The sequence below is a fragment of the Homo sapiens genome, chromosome 5, assembly GCF_000001405.40.
Source record: "Homo sapiens chromosome 5, GRCh38.p14 Primary Assembly".
In the NCBI taxonomy this organism is placed as follows: domain Eukaryota; kingdom Metazoa; phylum Chordata; class Mammalia; order Primates; family Hominidae; genus Homo; species Homo sapiens.
The window spans coordinates 173,295,584-173,314,163 of record NC_000005.10 but is presented as its reverse complement, the minus strand read 5'-3'; the positions used below and the strand labels follow the sequence as shown (position 1 = coordinate 173,314,163).

Here is an 18,580-nt window from a genome sequence, read left to right as displayed (position 1 = left end):
CCACAAATAATAGGTATTATCCTCATTCTACAGGTGAAGAAACTGAGGTACAGACTTGTCCCAAACTGTGTGGCTAGTGAGTGGGGTGGGGTCTGAACTCAAACTCAGATCAGGACTCCTAAGCCCACACACCTTCCCCTACTTCAGGCCTAGAATCTCCACTTTAAATTTATTTTTAAGTTAAACCAATCAGTGTTATGCCTATTTTACACGAGGCTTGGGGAAAGAATAATTATACTCTTACATTTATAGTTCCAGGCCTCCAAGGAGTTCTGCTTCAAAATGGAAAGGAAAGTTAATGCTCTCACCTTTACTCTCTGCAAAGACTCAAATTTTGGTTCCGATAAGGAAAGCAGGAGAATCGTGGAGCCTCCTCATTTTTCTTTGCATGTGGATAATTTTTTATAAGATTCTTCTCATGCACCACTGGGAAAGCATTTGGGGAGCATCTGGTTTTCTTGAAACATGCAGCTGGAGCTTTCCTCACTAAACTCACCCCATCACCTTTCTGAGAAGCCAGCCTCCTCCAAACCCTTCACCAACATCATCACCCTCATCAGGACAGCTGCAGATTCCTGGGGACCCATGATGTGCTCCGTGCCTTGCCTGGTGCTTTAGGGATATTATTTCTGAAACCCATTTTAAAGATAAAGAAACTGAGGCTTCATGACATTTAATATGCCTGGAGCCAGTCACAAGGCTAGTGAGCTCTAGAGTCAGCATGCAAATGCACCCCTCCACCTTGTCTTCTTGCACTCCAAGTGTGAACACATGGGTTAAATGCACCCAAATGAGTCGAGAAATTCAGCTGCCTCCCTCTAAGCCCCAAGGTTGTTCCAATCCAACTGTTCTGGAATTATTAGGCTGTGGGAGGAAGAAGTCAGAGAGCTTCCAAATATGCTGGGATTTAAGCAGAGTTTCCAAAGGAAGCTGGATCTATGCACCCCAAAATCTGGACACAGAAAACCAAATTGGTTCTAAAGTCAACAAAAAAGAAAGCCCCCTGCTGAGGAGGCGACAACCCCTGGCCAGAGAACAGTTTTTATGTGAATTATTTTTTGTGGGTGGAGAAGAGAAGAAAAGAGCAATAGAAGCCTTGGGCTAGGAGTCCCGTGTTGCTGCTTGCATAAGCAGTTCAGTTTTTATCACTCCCCAAAAAGAACAACAAAAAAAAGTCACTTCCCAAAGAGTACAGAAAAAAAAAAGTCACAAAGCCAACCTAGGCTTATGCATGAAATGGACTCCACACCAGGATGAACCCAGATCTCATGGCACCTTAGAATCTGTAACCACCTTGCCACCATTGAACATCACGCCTGAGCTAAAACTTGGGAGAAACAAGGAAAGCTCCTACATGGAATTCTCAGAGGCAGGGTATTGTTCACAAGGTAATGAGGAGAATCAGCTGGTTCCGTTTCCCATTCGATAAATTCCAGGAATTTTTATGGTTCTTAAAACTAAGGGGGAATGCACATGTAAAAAAGCAGTGGCATGCTAAAGAGGACAGGGACCACCTGCTTGTCCCCTGAGATATGAATAATGTTCTGCAAAGGGCCAAGGGCTCCAAAGAGGGCTTTGTTCAGAAAGAATGATCAGTCCCTAGAATTCTGTCCCAGATGTTTATTGCTGTTTAACAAAACTACTCCTGAAGCTTAGTAGGTATAAAACAACTATTTTATTTTGCTCATAATTTTACAGGTCAGAAATTTGGAAAGGGTGGTTAGACTCTTCACATGGTGGTGGCTGGGGCAACCGGGGCTGGAGGATCCACTTCCAAGATGACCTTCCCAAGATGGTGCCTCGGTGCTCCAGGCCTCCTCTCTTCTCCCGTCCCACCTCTCCCACAGTCCCCATTGTGGTGCCTCATCCCCCGAGGCCTGTCAGAGCATGGCCGTCCGGGGGTAGTCTCACTTCTTCCATAGTGACTGGCTTCCCTCAAGACAGGCTGGAGGATCTTACACCATACTCTTCAAATCTAAGCTGTTTTCACCCTTGGTACTATAAGAACCACAGGTTCTAAACTCCATGAGGACAGAGGCTATGTCATTTTTTGTACACAGTTGCCTGTATCCCCAGCAGCTCTGCCATTGCTCGGTGTGAGTGAATGAATGAATGAACGAATGAATGAAAGAAACCTCTTGTCTAAAATGGTGCCAAAATGTCAAATCAGATGAGTTTCAATTTACTTTAACTTCTAAAGCAAATATATCCTTGCATCCTTGTACAAGGGATCAACATGTCATAGAATCAGTGAGAGGGTGTCAAAATTAAAAATCGCTGGGAAGCCTGTAATTTTGAAGTCAGGAGACATAGACAGGGGTACCAATCCAGCCACCTACTCATCTTGCACCAGGTAAATCTCTTTGGGGATAAGAAGGAAATATAACTAATGACTGAAAAAATCAGGACTGGCCCTGAGACCTTGGCGAATCGGTTCCATTTTCTAAGCCTGTTTCCTTAGCTACAAAATAAGGAAACCAACAGCTATCCTGCTTTTCTCAGGGGGATGGAGGGCAGTTGAAGATAAAATGACTTAAGCTATATAAAAAGTCACAAAGCCTAGGAAATGCTTTGAAGACGATGACATGCCACGTAAAGGGTGGTGGTTATTTCTCTCGGCCATTTCAGAAGACAGTGGCCTAAAGCCAAGATCACGGATGGGATGAGCTGCCTCATGCTTTTTACTCTGTCCTGTCTCTTCTGGGGCAGGCTCAAGGTCTCTAAGGGACCCAACAGAGGGGCCAGCCCCGCAGGGTGAGACTTTGCCTGAAGTGGGCATGAGGGGTTGGAGGCTAACTAAGTGGGAGCCCTGAACGAGTCCCAGCCCCTGCCCCAGTGAGGTGAGTGGGCCCTGAGCAGCTCCTGAGCAGCCCCATGATGCTCTCACCGAGCTGAGTTCCACCAGGAGTGCCATGTGGCAAGCTCCACCGGGTGGCACCAAGGCCCATGCCCAGGAGCAGAGGGCCCTTCCTGCCAGGGCTCCCTCTGAAAACCTCAAGGCAAAGGACTTACAGAAAAGCTAATTAATAAACCTCTTTACTGAGAAAGGAAAGCAGAGCCTGACAAAGACAAGGGAGGAAAGAGATTTGGGGCCAGAGCCCACTCGGCTCTGTGCCAAGGTTCCTAAGAGTTTGACATTTGGAAAAGATCTGGCCTGCAGGAGCCAAGGATTCGGGACAGGGCTCCTTCTGGCTCCCGGGAGTGTCAAGAAGAGAAGGAGGAGGAGGAGGAGGAAAATGACTCAGCTGAAATGAAGAGAAATGTATTTTTAAAAAGTGAAACGATGAAAGGCACAAAGGAACGAAATGGAGCCCCAGGACAGGGTCCAAGTGCCTTCTCAGAGTAAGTGGGGCAAATTTTCAAAAAGCTAGAGAGCTCGCCTGTGTTTCTTAGCCAAGAATAACACCATGAAAATGAAGACAGTCCTCTGGGCTTGCCAGGCCCACCATTCTCAGAAGCCCTCCCCTCCCAGGTCTCTGTTGGGGCTCGTGCCCACCTCTGCAGGAGAAACACTGAAAGCCACCTGGCAGCAGAGACCCTTCTCCTCTCTTCCAACTTGGAAAATGCAGGCGAGGTCTGCAGCAAATGAGTTAGGCTGCACTGGGCTCACGTTCACCTAGTAAGGCAAGGACAGAAAGGGGGGTCCCATTGCTCCATCGGGTGCATGGGAACTGTCAGGGGGGCAGTGAGGAGAGGGAGATGGAAGGAGCCTCCCTCCCCTGAAGCTGCCACAGCCCCATCCCTTTCAACAGCCAAGGTCAGGTGACCCTGATTGCAAAAGTGTCATTTTGAAATATTCAATGGAGAGCGAGCACAATAATGAGATATGAGAAGAAAGAGAAGCCACTGCCTCTACCGCTCAGACCTCCCTTCTCCAGGGTCATTCAGCAAACATCGGCTTCATGCCTTCATGCTGGGTTCCTACCTCTTCCCTAGCATGCAACGCCATGGAAACTCTCATTTCTAGAGAGCCAGCATGGCTGGGAGCACAATGACCAAAGCGGCGGAGGACCCCAGGAAGGGGATCAGTTGATCAAACTCCCCTGCCCCAAGTGTCTCAAAGCAGGGCCAGGGTAGGAGGCTCCTCACAGACCTCAGGAGAAAGCAGCCTAGCTGTATTCCCCACATTCCAACAGAAAATAGCAAACCAGCAGAGAGTTCCTGGCCCTCCAGCCCCTGGGTCATCCCAGCGCCTCCAAGGAGGGAAGCCATTCCTGTAACCCCTCCAGATGGTCACCAGCACCTGGTGGGGACGTCCTCGGCCTCCTAATGGCTGCAGCTGTGCAGAAGGAATGGGGCCGGCTGCCCTCTGAGGCCCCTCCCTGCCAACCTTGAATGTCCTGAGATTCCTTTTCCAACCACCACTTGTCTAAGCAAACATGTTAGGCCAAGAGGGAAGCCACTCCATACTTATATTTCCAAGCCTGGAGCCCCAAAAGCTGCGCCCGTTAGGGTCCTCTAGGAAGCAGAGGCAGAATTAAATGCAGGGGAAACGCCATGAAGGATGATGCGAAGAACAGGCGTGGGTAGGCAGAGCCTCGGCCCATGGTGCTTTCTGACACTTTTGGAGGGACAGAGGGGACAGAAGGAGAGCTGGGCAGGACTGCAGCTCAGCCCCAAAAGTCCCTGCCAGGATGATGGGGAGCCCCAGAGTGAAACGTGAGGCCTGTGCTGGACAGATGGAGGCCCTGCTCCAGCACCTCTAGGTGCTCAGTCACTGCTGGGAGCAGCCTGGGAAGAGGGTGGCTCAGCAGGGACACCGTCAGGGGCCCTGACAGTGGGGCAGCTGGAAGCTGTGAGCAAATCTCATTCTTCACAGCAGGGAGATATGAGCAGCACACACCATGGCTACCTGAGGTCAACGCTTTTTTGGAAAAAAAAAACAAAAACAAAAACAAAACCTTTAAACAGAACACTATGCTTAGTTCCTGAGACAGGTTCTACACGTGACAAGATCTCTGGCAAGAGGCTTCACAGAGTTGTTGTAAGAAAGAAAAAACAGAAGGAATGGAACACTCATTTGCACACTGTAGGGTCCATACCTGGGGTGGGTTGGGGGGGGACAAAATGGTGGCTCATAGGCCAAATAGTGCCTGTAAGTGTGTTTTGTTTGACTTACGTGTTGATTTTTTAAACACCAGATTCGTTGCAAGCAAGTGCAAGCCACAAAAATCCAAATTTGCAGCATCTTTTCAAGAATGAAAACATCTGCCAATACTGAGCCCACATTCCAGTTCAACACAGTCCCCACCACTCCGTATTGTCTCCTACCCTGTCCACTTCACTCAAGGGCTTCACCAGCCTGGCCCTCGCAGGCCTCCTGCCCACATTCACAGGTGCATCTAAGCTATTCATGGTCATCCCATTTCTTAGGGGGATATGAAGAAGAATATTCAGGAAACCAAACAAGAGTTCCTGAAAATTAGAATAAGAGAGAAAAAATAAAAAATACAATAAAACAGTTGGAAGATCAATTTGAGAAAATCTCTCAGAAAGAGATGGGCCATGGAAGGAAAAAGATAAGAAAGTCAGAGGATCAGTCTAGGAGATTTAACACCCAAGTAGTAAGAACATTAGAATGAAGGAACAGAGAAAATGGTAGAGAGAAAATTATCTAAGAAATAATAGTACAGAACTGAATGGTAAGAGATTCCAGATGTAAAAGGCCTGCAGAGAACCCAAGGCAGTCAATGAAAAGTTTCCCAACAAGACACATTCTTGTGAAATTTTGAAACTCCTACTGGTAAAGAGGAAAATCCCAAAAGGTTCCTGGAGCAGGGAAAAAGTCACATAAGAAGGATCAAGAATCAGTATGGCATCAGACTTCTCAACAGCAACTTTGGAAGCCCAAAGCCAGAGGCTCAATGTTTCAGCCTGCCAAGGGAAAATAATTCTAAACCTAGTCAGATCATCAATCAAGTGGGCTACTATCAAGATGTATTTCAGGCATGGAAGGTCTCAAAACATTTCCTTCTCAAATATCCTTTTGCATGGAGCTCCTGGGACTGTGCTCCACCAAAAATGAAGTACACTGGCTAAGACATAATCTGATTCAGGAAGCAGAGATCCAGCCCAGGAAAGAGGGCAGGGTCCCAGAACGTGCAGCTGTGCAGTGGTGGAGACAGCAGCCAGCCCCACCAGGAGGTGGGGACAGGAGGGGCTGCAGGTGATCATTGCATGGTTCTCTCAGATGGCTTGGGGATAAGTCAGTTATGATTAAATTTGGTACAGATAGCAAAGCCAAAAATGAGCAAAAGACTTGAACAGGCATTTCACAAATAAAGATGTTCAAGCAGCCCATAAGCACATGAAGGGGGCCTCAATATCATTAGTCACCAGGAAAATGGAAATTAAGACCACAATGGCAATCACTATCCACCCAGCAGAGTAGATAAAATTAAGAACAACAGACAAGCCCAAGTGTTACAAGTCAGCGAAGCAACTGGAACTCTCATTTGCTCCTGGCGGCGGCATGAATGGTACAACAACTTTGGAAAACTCTTTGGCAGTTCTTTTTATTTTATTTTATTGTTATTTATTTATTTATTTATTTGAGACAGAGTCTTGCTCTGTTGCCCAGGCTGGAGTGTAGTGGTGCAATCTTGACTTACTGCAACCTCCCTCCACCTCCCAAGTTCAAGCGATTTTCCTGCCTCAGCCTCCTGAGCAGCTGGGATTACAGGCATGTGCCACCATGCCTGGCTAGTTTTTTTGTATTTTTGGTAGAGACAGGGTTTCACCACTTTGGCCAGGCTGGTCTTGAACTCCTAACTTCAAGTGATCTACCTGCCTCAGCCTCCCAAAGTGCTGGGATTACAGGCATGAGGCACCGCACCCAGCTGGCAGTCTCTTATAGTGTTAAACGTAGACCCATCAATGGCCCAGCAATCCCAGTCTTAGGAATATCCAGAAAAGTGAGTGCCTATGTCCACAAAGATACTGGTACAAGAATATTATAGCCAAAAACTGGAACCAGCCAAATGCCCATCAAATAAGGGACAGATAAACAGACTGTGGTGTTTCCATCCAAGGAATATTACTTGGATGGAAATATTAAAAGGAATTTAAAGGAATGAATGGCTGATTCACACCACAACTTGTGGATCTCAAGACATTATGAAGCCAGGCAGAAAAGGACACATGTAGTAGGAGTCTATTCATATGAGATTCAAAAACAGGAAAACTAGTCTATAGGAATAGAAGTCAAAACAGTGATTATATCCGGAGAGAAAAGCATAGGCAGGTATTAACCGGATAGGAACACAAGGGAACCTTCAGGGATGACAGGAATGTTCTATATCTTGGCCTCGGGGGAGGTGTCACAGGAGATCATGTGTAAAAGTCATTAAGCTGTGCACTGAAGATTTGTACATTTTACTACATGTAATTTGTTCCTTCACAAAGTACTGAAAGAAAAGAGAACTAGACACATCCCAAAAGATACATTATTAATTCCATGCAAAGTAAAGAGTTATTTTCAAAAACAAAATGTCATCCTTAAAACGCTCCCTGCATAGGGACTTAGCTCAGATGTGAACAATATTCACACGGGTGTAATAAGGGACAAATGCACTATATGTGGATTCAGCCAGTCATCTGCACTGGGAGGATGAGCAGAAGGACAGTGTTTGGGGCAGTAGCAGAGGATTGGGGGTGAACAGAGAGCTGAATCCCAATATTTTGTAGGAAGATGTCAATAGATAACATCTAAAATAAAATAAACACATAAACAAGACATAGCAGCAGAGCTGTGTTGTTCAGCCATCTGGAGGGAAATACTAGAAGAAACAGCTCAAGGGCAGCAAGTGATTGTCTCTGGGAGTGGGATTCAGTGGTGGGAAACTGTACAGCTACTTGTAATTTGGTTCTGCTAGAATCAGTTTTAGCAAAAAGAAACTGGAACTCAAAGCAAAATCCCTTACTTAAAACAGAAATGTGGCCAGGCGCAGTGGCTCACGCCTATAATGCCAGCACTTTGGGAGGCCAAGACGGGCAGATCACCTGAGGTCAGGAGTTCGAGACCAGCCTGGCCAACATGGTGAAACCCCGTCTGTACAAAAAGTACAAAAATTAGCTGGGTATGGTGGCAGGTGCCTGTAATCCCAGCTACTTGGGAGGCTGAGGCAGGAGAATCGCATGAACCTCGAGGCGAAGGTTGCAGTGAGCCGAAATCATGCCATTGCATTCCAGCCTGGGTGACAAGAGTGAGACTCCATCTCAAAAAAAAAAACCAAAAAAACAGAAATGTATTTCTATCTCAGACAAAAGGCTGGAGCTTCGCAACTCAGGGCTGCTCCACAAAGTTCTAGAAGACTAGATCTCCTTTTTCTCACTGCTACACCATGCATGGCCTCCATTTCCAAGATGTCCTTCTTGATCAATATGGCTGCTCCAGCTCCAGCCGTCGAATCCACCTTCCAGTCAGCAGGATGGAAGATGGAAGGGACAAAGATGAAAAAGGGTTCACACCCTCTGTCTTTTTAGGCAGTTTCCCCCTAAGCTACTACATAACACTTCCAGCCAGAACCAAGTCCTCACTGGCCAGAACCTAGTCCCATGGTTACTCCTAGGTGCAAAGGAGGCTGGAAAATACCATCTATATTCTGGAGTGCCATAGCCAGCTATGGAACTAGGGAGTCTCTGCCATTAAGACTTGTATTTAAAGTTGTCAACTATCTATACGTATTACTTTGATAAAATGTAAAATGTAAACAAAAAGAAATAGCATGAGCTGCCAATAGACAAAGTGAAGAGTACTTGGGCAGGGTGCATTGGTCCTAAAGCACACACCTGGGCAGATAGTAGGGATGCCTGATGAGATCAGGACCACCACCCCGGCCCCCCAGCACAGTCCAGGAACCAAAAGAGGAGCTCTAGGAGGAAGACTAAGAAGCTGGCCTGGCAGAACGAAGGCATTAGGTGCACACTGTCACTATGGGGCCAAATAACTCCATGTCAGCATCCTTGCTGATAGCCTCAAATGCTCAACTCTTTCTGGCCTTCCACATTTAGACCAGTGTTTAAAAAAATATTGTCTCACGATGCCCCCCAGTAAGGTGGAAATGGTTATTCCTACTTTACAGATCAAGAAACAGACTCTCAGAGGTAAAGCAACTTCCCCCAGGTTGTAACTGGAGGGTCTTAGGCTTAACCTCAGGAATCCAAAGACTAAGTCCAGGTTCCTGTCCTCCGAGGGGTCTGCCACCCGCAGCTTTTGGGTTCTCTGCAGGGCCAAATCAGGCCTGTCAATAAGTCACGAGAAGCAATGATTCATTTGAAGACAAGATACACAACAGGGAGGCCCGGTGGAATGAGCAGTCCTGTTTCCTAGGAAGTCGGCCTTCTGCAGGGCTGAAAGAGTACACAGTTAGCAGGGAGGATCCCCTTCTGCAAACACCAGCACAGCAGTTTCCAGACAAAGAGAAAGTGCTGCTGGTGCTAGCCGGGAGGTGCAGTTATTTCAATCCTCAAAGGGCTTTTGTCAAGACGAGGCCACGAGCTGGAGCATATAGAATTCCAAGTTTTTCCCTTCCGATTCCTCCAAAACCAGAAGGGAAAGTCGTTCTGCACTGCTCTAACAATATTTGCCCCCTGAGTACCATCTGAGAACCTCAGAATGCTACACTAACATTTCTGAATAAAACTGCAGAACCTCCAAGTGACCTTGGGACGGTCATTGCCTCTCGCCGCACCCCACGTGTCATGGAAGGTGCTGGAGAGACACTGTGGTTCTTGGAGAGAAGGAGGCAAATTGGCAGAGGGCAGAAGGAGTTTACTGTCCCCAGAACCCATCCTAGCCATGCCTGTCTGGATGCAATGAATGCATGAGGACCAGCCAAAGCCCGGAGCTCAGATGGTCCAACCAAAAGGGGCAGGCAGATTAGGGAGAGCCAGGCAGACAGAAATAGGTGAAGGGCAGAGCAGAAATGTGCACGGCCTGGCAACAGGGACCTAGCTGGAGGTTCCTGGACAGCGCTCAGCACCTGCAAAGACTCGGATCACGGCAGGACCCCCCACCCCCAGATGGAATCAGGTTTCAAGTGAAGAATCCGGGTAGAGCTGAGTCATGGCAGGGTCACTGAGAAACAAGACAGGAGAGGGGCCTGCTGGGGCTGTAGGTCACAGTGAGGTGACAACCGTAGTGTTGACTCAGCCAGAGAGACATTAGAGGAAATGTTCACACTCACACTCCTGGCTGGTCACAGAACTGATGCCAGAGTCTGCAGTTGAGGCAGCTTCAAATGTTAGGGGACTATGAAGACTGACCGGGCACCACGGAGGCAATTTGCTCAGCAGCAACCGCTTTGCCCCTCCCCCTGTTTTCTTACTGAGGGAAATCTTTCTCCAAATCATCAGAGCCAAGCAGGTGACCTTCAGTCCAGGACTGTCACCCTCCTACAGCCCCTAGAACTAATCCCCGCTCCTCCTTGACCCCTTCCCAGACTCCTCCAGCTTGAACGAACCTTCCCAATGCATGAGTTTTATCTCTGACCCAATTTAAATCTTCTATTTTAAAAAGTTTTTTTTTTAAGGTGTTCCCCAGATGTTTAATTTTATGTTGCCCAGGCTGGTCTCAAGCTCCTGGGTTCAAGCAATCCTCCCACTTCGGCCTCCCAAAGTGCTATGATTACAGGGGGTGAGCCACTTATAATAATAGAAGGCCCAGCCTTCTATTATTGTGTTTAAATGACTTACTCTCACTCCACCCCATCCTCCAGCACACTGTCACATAACCAGAAGAGTTCAGTAAATATCTTTATTGGTTTTTTTTTTTACTTGACTTGAAAATATCTAGTTAAGGACATAAAAGAACAATACCACCAAATAACAATATACAAATAAGCACAAAATGATACCATGCAAATAACAATTACCAGTCCTGAGGGAGCGTTGAAAAGGATAAGTGAATCTGTAAGAGAGGGCACTGATCTAGGGAGGTTGCATGGAGGAGGCCAGTTCTGAACCAGCTACTGGGAAAAAAATAGAGTTTGGGTTAATAGATTAGACTTATTTTGGTTGTAAGCAATAGCAATCTAATTCAAAGCAGTTTAAGAAAAAGAAAAAAGAAAAAGGATGGAAGGAGGAAAACAAGAGGGAAGGAGGAATAAATAAAGGAAAAAATAGAGGAGACTATATTGCCCCAGGTAATGGGAAACAGGCATGGCCGGTTCCAGGTGCTCAAATGATAACATCAGGAATCCACTTCTCTCCATTCGGCTTTCTTCTGTGATAGCTTCATTCCCAGGCAGACTCCCTGCCAGGTAGCCCCCCGAGTTAAATGCACAGATTTGCAATGCCAGTACGGAGAGGGAGCTTCTCTTTTTCAGTAGTTGAGGGGGCATTTAAAACACACACACGCATACATACACACACACACACACACACACACACACACTTTTGTTGTAAAGAGATATTAGCAGGATGATTTGTTACTGCAGCTTAACTCGGCCTGTCCTGAGTGATATATGCTTCACTGGTCTAGCTTGGGACACACACTCATCCTTGTGGCCAGAGGGGCACAGTGCTCTGATTGGCCAGGCTGAGTCACAGTCTAGCCTCCAGCCATGGATCTGAGGGCCAGCCCCACCCTAATCACAGGGTTTCAGATTTCCTTCAAAAGAAAATCAAGACGAGGTTGCCAAAAGAGAAAGGGGAATTGATCACTGGGCAACAAAACTCAGCAGGGTTCAACAAGCACTTGGCAGAATGTGGAGGGAGGGTGGGCACCCTTCACCTCAACAGTTTCTGGATCTGGGGCCCACTGCTCTGTCTAATACCCCCCACCCCCGCCACAAGGCACATGTACAAAGGTGCCAAGCTCCCTGCCTCCCCACGGGTTCCACAGGAGAGCCTGGGGCTCCCAGCACAGGGACAGGTTCTAGCCTCCCGCCCTTTGCCGCCCACCTCCTGGTGTAGCCAAGACTCCCAGCTGAGACAATCTCCCAGCCCTGCAGGGAGACCTGAAGGTGTCTGAGAGTGACATGGAGGCCAAGCGTCCACACCTGCAGCCTCTGAGGGCCACCAAATCCCACCCAGACCCTCCCAGCAGCCAGCACACGGATGCTCACACATCATTCCGGCAAAGCCCATTCCTCCGGGAACTAAGCGAAGCCATCCACACTTCTAGCCCTGCCATTCCCCTACATATTTTTAACCTCCTGGGCTCAAGAGTTCAATCCTGCTTGTCTGCCTCTCCCACAGCCCCCTGAATCCAGCCAGAGTCCGTACGTCACACTTCCTGCAGCAGGCCCGAGGGTCAGGAGTTCATCCCATTGAGCCATTGCCTGGGCGGGGCGGGGGTCCTAATGAGCATGACATCCTCCCCCAAAGCTCCAACAGCTGTGTTTCCCCCTTGCTTGGAAGGAAGGAGACCACGTAGAGCAGCAGAAAGAATTTCGTGCTGCAGAAATGCTCAGGGTAGGACTCACAGTCAAAAGGTCAGACTCTCAGGATTTCAGGCAGGTCATTTTTTTTGGTTTCTGCCTCGGTTTTCCTGTTGGCAAAATGGGGCTGAAAGGGGCAATTTTAGAAAAGCAAACAAGCCTGTGATGGGGTACCAGCTTCTCCGTTCCAGCTCCACTGGGTCAAACAGCAGTCCAAAATCAAGCCAATCCTTTTACAGAGAATTTTCTAGACTCCCAGACCCACTTTAGGAAAGAGAACTGAGAGTTGAGCGTGGTGGCTCTCACCTGTAATCCTAGCACTTAGGGAGGCTGAGGCAGGGGGACCATTTGAGGCCAGGAGTTCAAGACTAGTCTGGGCAACAGAGTGAGACCCTGACAGAAAGGAAAGGAGAGGAGAGGGGAGGAGAGGGGAGGGGAGAGGACGGGAGGGGAGGGGAGGAGAGGGGAGGGGAGGGGAGGAGAGGGGAGGGGAGGGGAGGAAAGGGAAGGGGAGGGGAGGAGAGGGGAGGGGAGGGGGGAAGGGAGGGGAAGGGAGAGGAGGGGAGGGGAGGGGACGGGAGGGGAGAGGGGAGGGGAGGGGAGGGGAGCGGAGGAGAGGAGAGGAAAGGAAAGGAAAGGAAGAAAAGAAAGGAAAGGAAGAAAAGAAAGAGAGAGAAAGAAAGAAGGAAAGAAAGAAAGAAAGAAAGAAGGAAAGAAAGAAAGAAAGAAAGAAAGAAAGAAAAGAAAGAAAGGAAGGAAGGAAAGAAAGGAGAGAAGGAAGGAAGGAGAAAGAGAGAGAAAGAAAGAAAGAAAGAAAAAGAGAGAGAAAGAAAGGAAGGAAGGAAAGAAAGGAGAGAAGGAAGGAAGGAGAAAGAGAGAGAAAGAAAAAGAAAGAAAGAAAGAAAGAAGGAAAGAAAGAAAGAAAGACAAAGAAAGAGAGAAAGAGAAAAAGAACTGAGGAATGAGGGTCTAGCTAAGCGTGTGTGGTCAGTTCTCTGTCTATACCTGCTGCTGGGTAGAGTAGAAAGCCAGAGGGTTGAGCCATCAGCTGATGGCCTTAATGGCTGCTAAGCATCTCTTGAAGGTGACCAGAAGCTGGCCAAGGAACGGAAGCAGGACAGGCCACAGTGTCCCCAGAACACTGGGCCTGGCCTCCTACACTGTGCCTGAGAGCACCACAGGAAGGGGCGCCTCTGAGAACTCGCAGCTGCCACGCTGAGTTCTGTGCACACTTATAAAGGCAATGAGGGCCACAGTGACAAAGAGAGTCCACAGTCTGGGGAGTGGCTTGAAGAGAATTAAACATGCAACGAGGTCAGAAGAGGCAACAGAGAGGTGGATCCCAGCTGTTAGTCTAGAACTCAAAAGTTATTTATTAAAAAAAAAAAAATACACAGTAGAAATTTTTAAAATCTAGTCAACGCACCTTCTATGCTCTATGCTGGGATGAATACAACTGAATATAAGGTTCTGAGCCTTCCAGGAAGCAAGGCTGACCATAAGGCCTGTGTGTGGAAGGGGCTTCAGAAAGCCAGATCCAGCAAAATCATTTAAACAGAAATAGAGTGAGTCCTGGCCATTGTATTAGATGACTTCAGTTACCAGTAGCAGCCACCGAATTCACACTGGCTTAAGCCAACAAGGAGGATTTATTGGTTCACTCGACTAAAAAGGTCAGGGTCCAAGTTTCAGGCATAGCTGGACCCAGGCTCAGACAGGACCATGAGGCCTCCACCTCCTCTTCTCAGTGTCTCAGCTCTGCCTCCCTCTGTGCCCGCTTCATTCTAAGATGCCGCGTGGCATTGCCGAGGCTGCAGGCTCCCAGCCTCCTTCTCACGGGCAATCCTGGGGAAAAAGGAGCTTCTCCTCCCAAGGGTCCTCATTGGCCCTGTTTGTGTCACTATCACTGTGGTCAGGGACAGGGAATACACTGACTGGGCAGACCTGGGCCTCATTAGGGGGCCTGATACAAGGGTCTTGAACTTGGGAGGCCTGGGCTGGAAATAGAAAAGGAAGTCATGCCGGGCGAGGTGGGTCACACCTGTAATCCCAGCACTTTGGGAGGCCAAGGCGGGAAGATCACTTGAGGCCAGGAATTCAAGACAAGCCTGGGCAACATAGCACAGAGACCCTGTCTCTACGAAAAACATTTTAATTAGCTGGGTGTGGTGGCACGCGCCTGTAGTCTCGGCTACTCCGGAGGCTGAGGCCGCAGGATCACTTGAGCCCAGGAGTTAGAGGTTACAGTAGCTATGATTGCACCACTGCAATCAGAGTGGCGCTCGGAGCAAGACAGACGGAAGGGAGGGAGGAAAGGGAAAGCAAAGGGAGTTCCGGGATCCAGATGGAGCTCAGGGTTACCCAGCTTTGCCGCTGACTAGCTGTAGGGCCTTGGGCAAGTCATTACCCCTCCATGAACTTCTGTTTCCTCATCTGTAGATGGGGGTCATGATACCTACTGCGGATGGCTGCTATAGAGATTAAGCATGATAAGTTATGTAAGTTAACCGGCACAGGGCACTTAGCAAATAGTAGCTACTAGTATTCTTTTCTCTACGTCTTCCATTTGTTTCTCACTTCAGTTTCCCTTTGCCTTGTTTCCACCTTAAGACGGCCTGGGGCTGGCCCTTCAGCATCACTCAGTACCCTGGGAAGTGCAGAGGCTAAAGAGAGGGCCTGTCCTGCCATTCATTCCCACGTGTTCTTGGAGCCCTGATCTGAGAGACAAATTGGAGATGCCAGGAGCCAGCCAGGGGGCTGAGGTTGAGATGGGGTTCCAAGGGGCTGGGGGAGCAGGGAGTTCCATCCGCGCTGGCACCACCTGGGAATGTCCAGTGCAGAGCCCCCAAGAATACAGCTCCGGTTTGGAAGCATCAAGGCAGGAATGGAGCTGGGACTGCCAAGCTGGGAGGGCGGGAGCAGGAAAGGGAAGCAAAGGGAAGAGAAGGGGCAGAGAAATGACCCATGGAATCCAACAGCTCATCAGGGACGGGAGACCTCCTCGGCAAGGCTCTAGGGCCCGGCTGGGGCCATCCCTGAGTTCTGAGAGATTTGTGAAATTCTTTGAATTCAGAAAAACATCAGGACAGCCCGACCCACTGTTCCTGGAAAGGGCCACATAATGATGACAGCAGCAGTTATGGCCAGGAAGCCGGGTGGGAATCCAGGGAGGGACGGTCACAGGGAAGAAAGAGCGGCCACCGATTTCAGAAGAGCAGCCATCCCAAAAACCCTCTCACGCCCTTCCCGTCATCTCTGCCTTCGCAAGAGTCTTCTCACCGAGAATGCCTCCCAGACCTTCCAGCACGCAATGAGAGTTCTCCAGCTGAAAAGAGCCCCCTTTCTCCTTTTCTAATCCTCCCTGCAACCCAGAGGAACAGCAGTTCTACAGACAATAGGGCTGCGAAGGGAGGCTGGGCCTGTGGGCTCGCAAGAGAGCAGGGAGAGCGGACAATGCCGGGTGTCTGTCACTCCTGGACTGGGGGTCCTTGGCAAGTCTCATTTCCTTGTTTGGAAAGTTGAAATAACTATTTCTCACAGGGTTTCCAAAAGGAACAAAAATAATGTATTTGAGAGTACTTTGCAAAATCTCAGGAGCAGTTTCAATGCTAGTTTTTAATATTATTATGAGCACCTGCAGAAGCCAGTCCTCTGTCCTTCACTCACCCGCAACCTCTGTGTAGCAGACGCTGCCATGGCCGTGCCCCACCCTCACACCAGCACACTCCGTGCTGGGACACACACCTGTGCCTCTCTCCCTGGAGGCTTTCCCAAGGCCTGTGCATGGGGCAGGCAGAGGTGCTGGGGAGCTGGTAGCCGTAGGAGCAGCCTTTAGCCGGGACAGACACTCCTGCTGTTTTTACCTGCTTGGAGCCCACTCTGTCTTCAGGTAACTGCACGACAGTTTGGGGACAAGGGGAAACTCCCCTCAATCCATGTGCTACAGTTGCGGGGACCAGTCCCTCCCAGCAATCCCAGGTTAGCCAATCAATATCGGAGGCTACTCGGGAATGAGCCTGTATCTGTCCCCAGGCCAGGGGACTCACGGTGGGGAGGCAGCTGGAGCTGGCAGTGGAGGCCTGCCCGAGAAGGCAGTGGTCTTCGATGGGCTTCACAGGAAACAGATTCAAGACAGAAAATTGCAAGGTTTGTTGCGAAGAGCAGTCAGGAGATGCCCCTGCACGGAATGACCAGGCGGGAGTGGGCAGCGGAGAAGCCGGCCCACTGTGCCATAGTAAGTGAGGCCGCCGCTGGTCCTACAAGGAGAGCTGAACATGGTGATCCTGCAGAGTAGTCCCAAGGGCATCAGGAGTCAGCAGCCACAGGCCAGCCCACTGGAGGTGGGGCGTGACCTTGGGTGAGGTGTTCCTGGAGTCCAAGGGCGATTCCTGGTGAGGGGAGGGGAGGGAGGTACTGGTGGGCCCCAGCATCAGCAGCTCGGGGACCACGGGCCCTGAGGAGGGGCTGGGGCTGCATGCGCAGCCTTCCTCCACAGAACCTGACTCTGAACAAAGCAGAGATGGGCCAGAGCAAGGAAGGCGCACTGGCGGCCCGTGTGACCCCAGGACCCACTGCCCAAGAGAGGCTCGGGTTGGGGAGGTGATGCAGTCGCTGCAGTGGAAATGGCCCCCTTCTGTGCACCACGCGTTTGCTGCAGGACAGCCTCTGGCCAGAGTTCCCCCTGGGAGAAAATGTAGGGGCAGGTCAGAGTCCAGAGAAAGCTGGAGTGGATGCATGTGTCCCCACCCTTCAGATACCCTCCGCTGGGTACATTACCCATTCGGTCATGTCCTCAGTGCACACTCATTAGTGCTGACCATGGGGGGGGCGCGGTGGGTGGCACAGATGTGAGCAAGGGGCACTGCCGTCCTTGACAAGCAGCAGGGGCTGCCCTGCTCCACCTGCTACCCTAGGGGCCTCCTGGCTTGGAAACCCAGAGGCAATGCTTCAAAGGCCTCTAGTTCTCCGCCCCCAGGTCCTCCCCTTGCAGCAGAACTCTGGCATATCCCTGGCCTTTCCTGAGTCTGAATCCCTCATCAGAGTGGCAGTGCAGCTTGCTGGGAGGCAGGAACACAGCAGCTCAGCACCTATGTTTTGGGGCCCCATGGCTGGATTCAAATACTAGCTTACTATTAGCTGTGTAAATTACTAGCTATGTAACTACGGGCAAGTCATTTTTCTGGCCCTCAGTTTTGCCACCTGTAAAATAAAGATAATAGTTTCTATGTCATAGGATGTCGAGAGGGTTGCATGATCTCGGTGGCTAGCACATAAAAATCACTCAGTGATGATAGCCGCTGTATCAATATTGTTGTGATTATTATTATTAGGCTTTGGGGATGAAAAGATGTCTTCAGCAAAACATCTCAAAATCCACAAATTTAAGAGAGATGACTCACAACCTGAAATTCCATTTTGTCACTCCTTTATCTCTCTGCTTTCTCGTCTCTTCGGCACCTTCTTGCAAAATTGCCCGAGCATCTGCCCTGTGTGGATGAGCAGCATGGAAATGGACAGCCAGAAATCAGACAAGGAAATGGAAAAAGCTATAGCCACAGACAGCAGCTGGAAAATCAGACTGGGATGCAAGTGTTGGCATCTGATTGAATGGGTGAATGCCTATGGAGCTCTAAAACAGGCCTGGGTTAGAATTCTGCCTCTGCCACTTATGATCTGTGTGACTTTTGGCAAGAGGTTTAACCTCTCTGAGCCCCATTTCAGCTGTAAAATGGGGAGAATAATACCTAACTCATAGGGCTTGGAAAGGATTAAATGAGATAATGTATGTGTTCTTGGCAGAAAATAGATGCCCAATAAATGTCAGCTCCCCTTCCCGGGAGATGAGTGCCAAGCCAAGCAGTGGAGTGGGTTACCTTTACCAAACACAAGGATAAAGTCAAGGGTCTTGTTCCAAGCACAGCCCAGTGACCACTTACATTATAAGCACTGAGGTCTTTGTATTAGGACTGAGGTCCTTACAATGAGCCTCTAGCTAGCAACTCCGTAGCTAGGATCTGGGGAGCTGCCTTTAACAAGAACACACGGATTGCCTAGTTCATCCCTAGTCCTGGGGTTCTGTGGTTCATGAGACCTAGTGCTCACCCAATGAGGTGCCCATGGCCCTATTTCTTTTTTCTTTTCTTTTCTTTTTTTTTATTATACTTTAAGTTTTAGGGTACATGTGCACAACGTGCAGG

General features: G+C 49.2%; 1 long non-coding RNA gene and 1 other non-coding gene across 2 annotated transcripts in view; both read right to left on the bottom strand.

Moving 5' to 3' along the window:
- Window positions 1-10,346: 10,346 nt before the first annotated feature.
- MIR12118 (microRNA 12118) lies at window positions 10,347-10,434 on the bottom strand. Its single transcript, NR_162132.1, has one exon. It is a non-coding gene; the product is annotated as a microRNA 12118 (primary transcript).
- Window positions 10,435-15,925: 5,491 nt separating this feature from the next.
- LOC105377731 (uncharacterized) overlaps window positions 15,926-18,580 on the bottom strand; it is a 29,006-nt gene continuing 26,351 nt past the window's right edge. Inside the window, exon 4 of the long non-coding RNA XR_941237.3 lies at window positions 15,926-16,771. This is a non-coding gene — a long non-coding RNA (uncharacterized LOC105377731). The remainder of the gene's footprint in view (window positions 16,772-18,580) is intronic.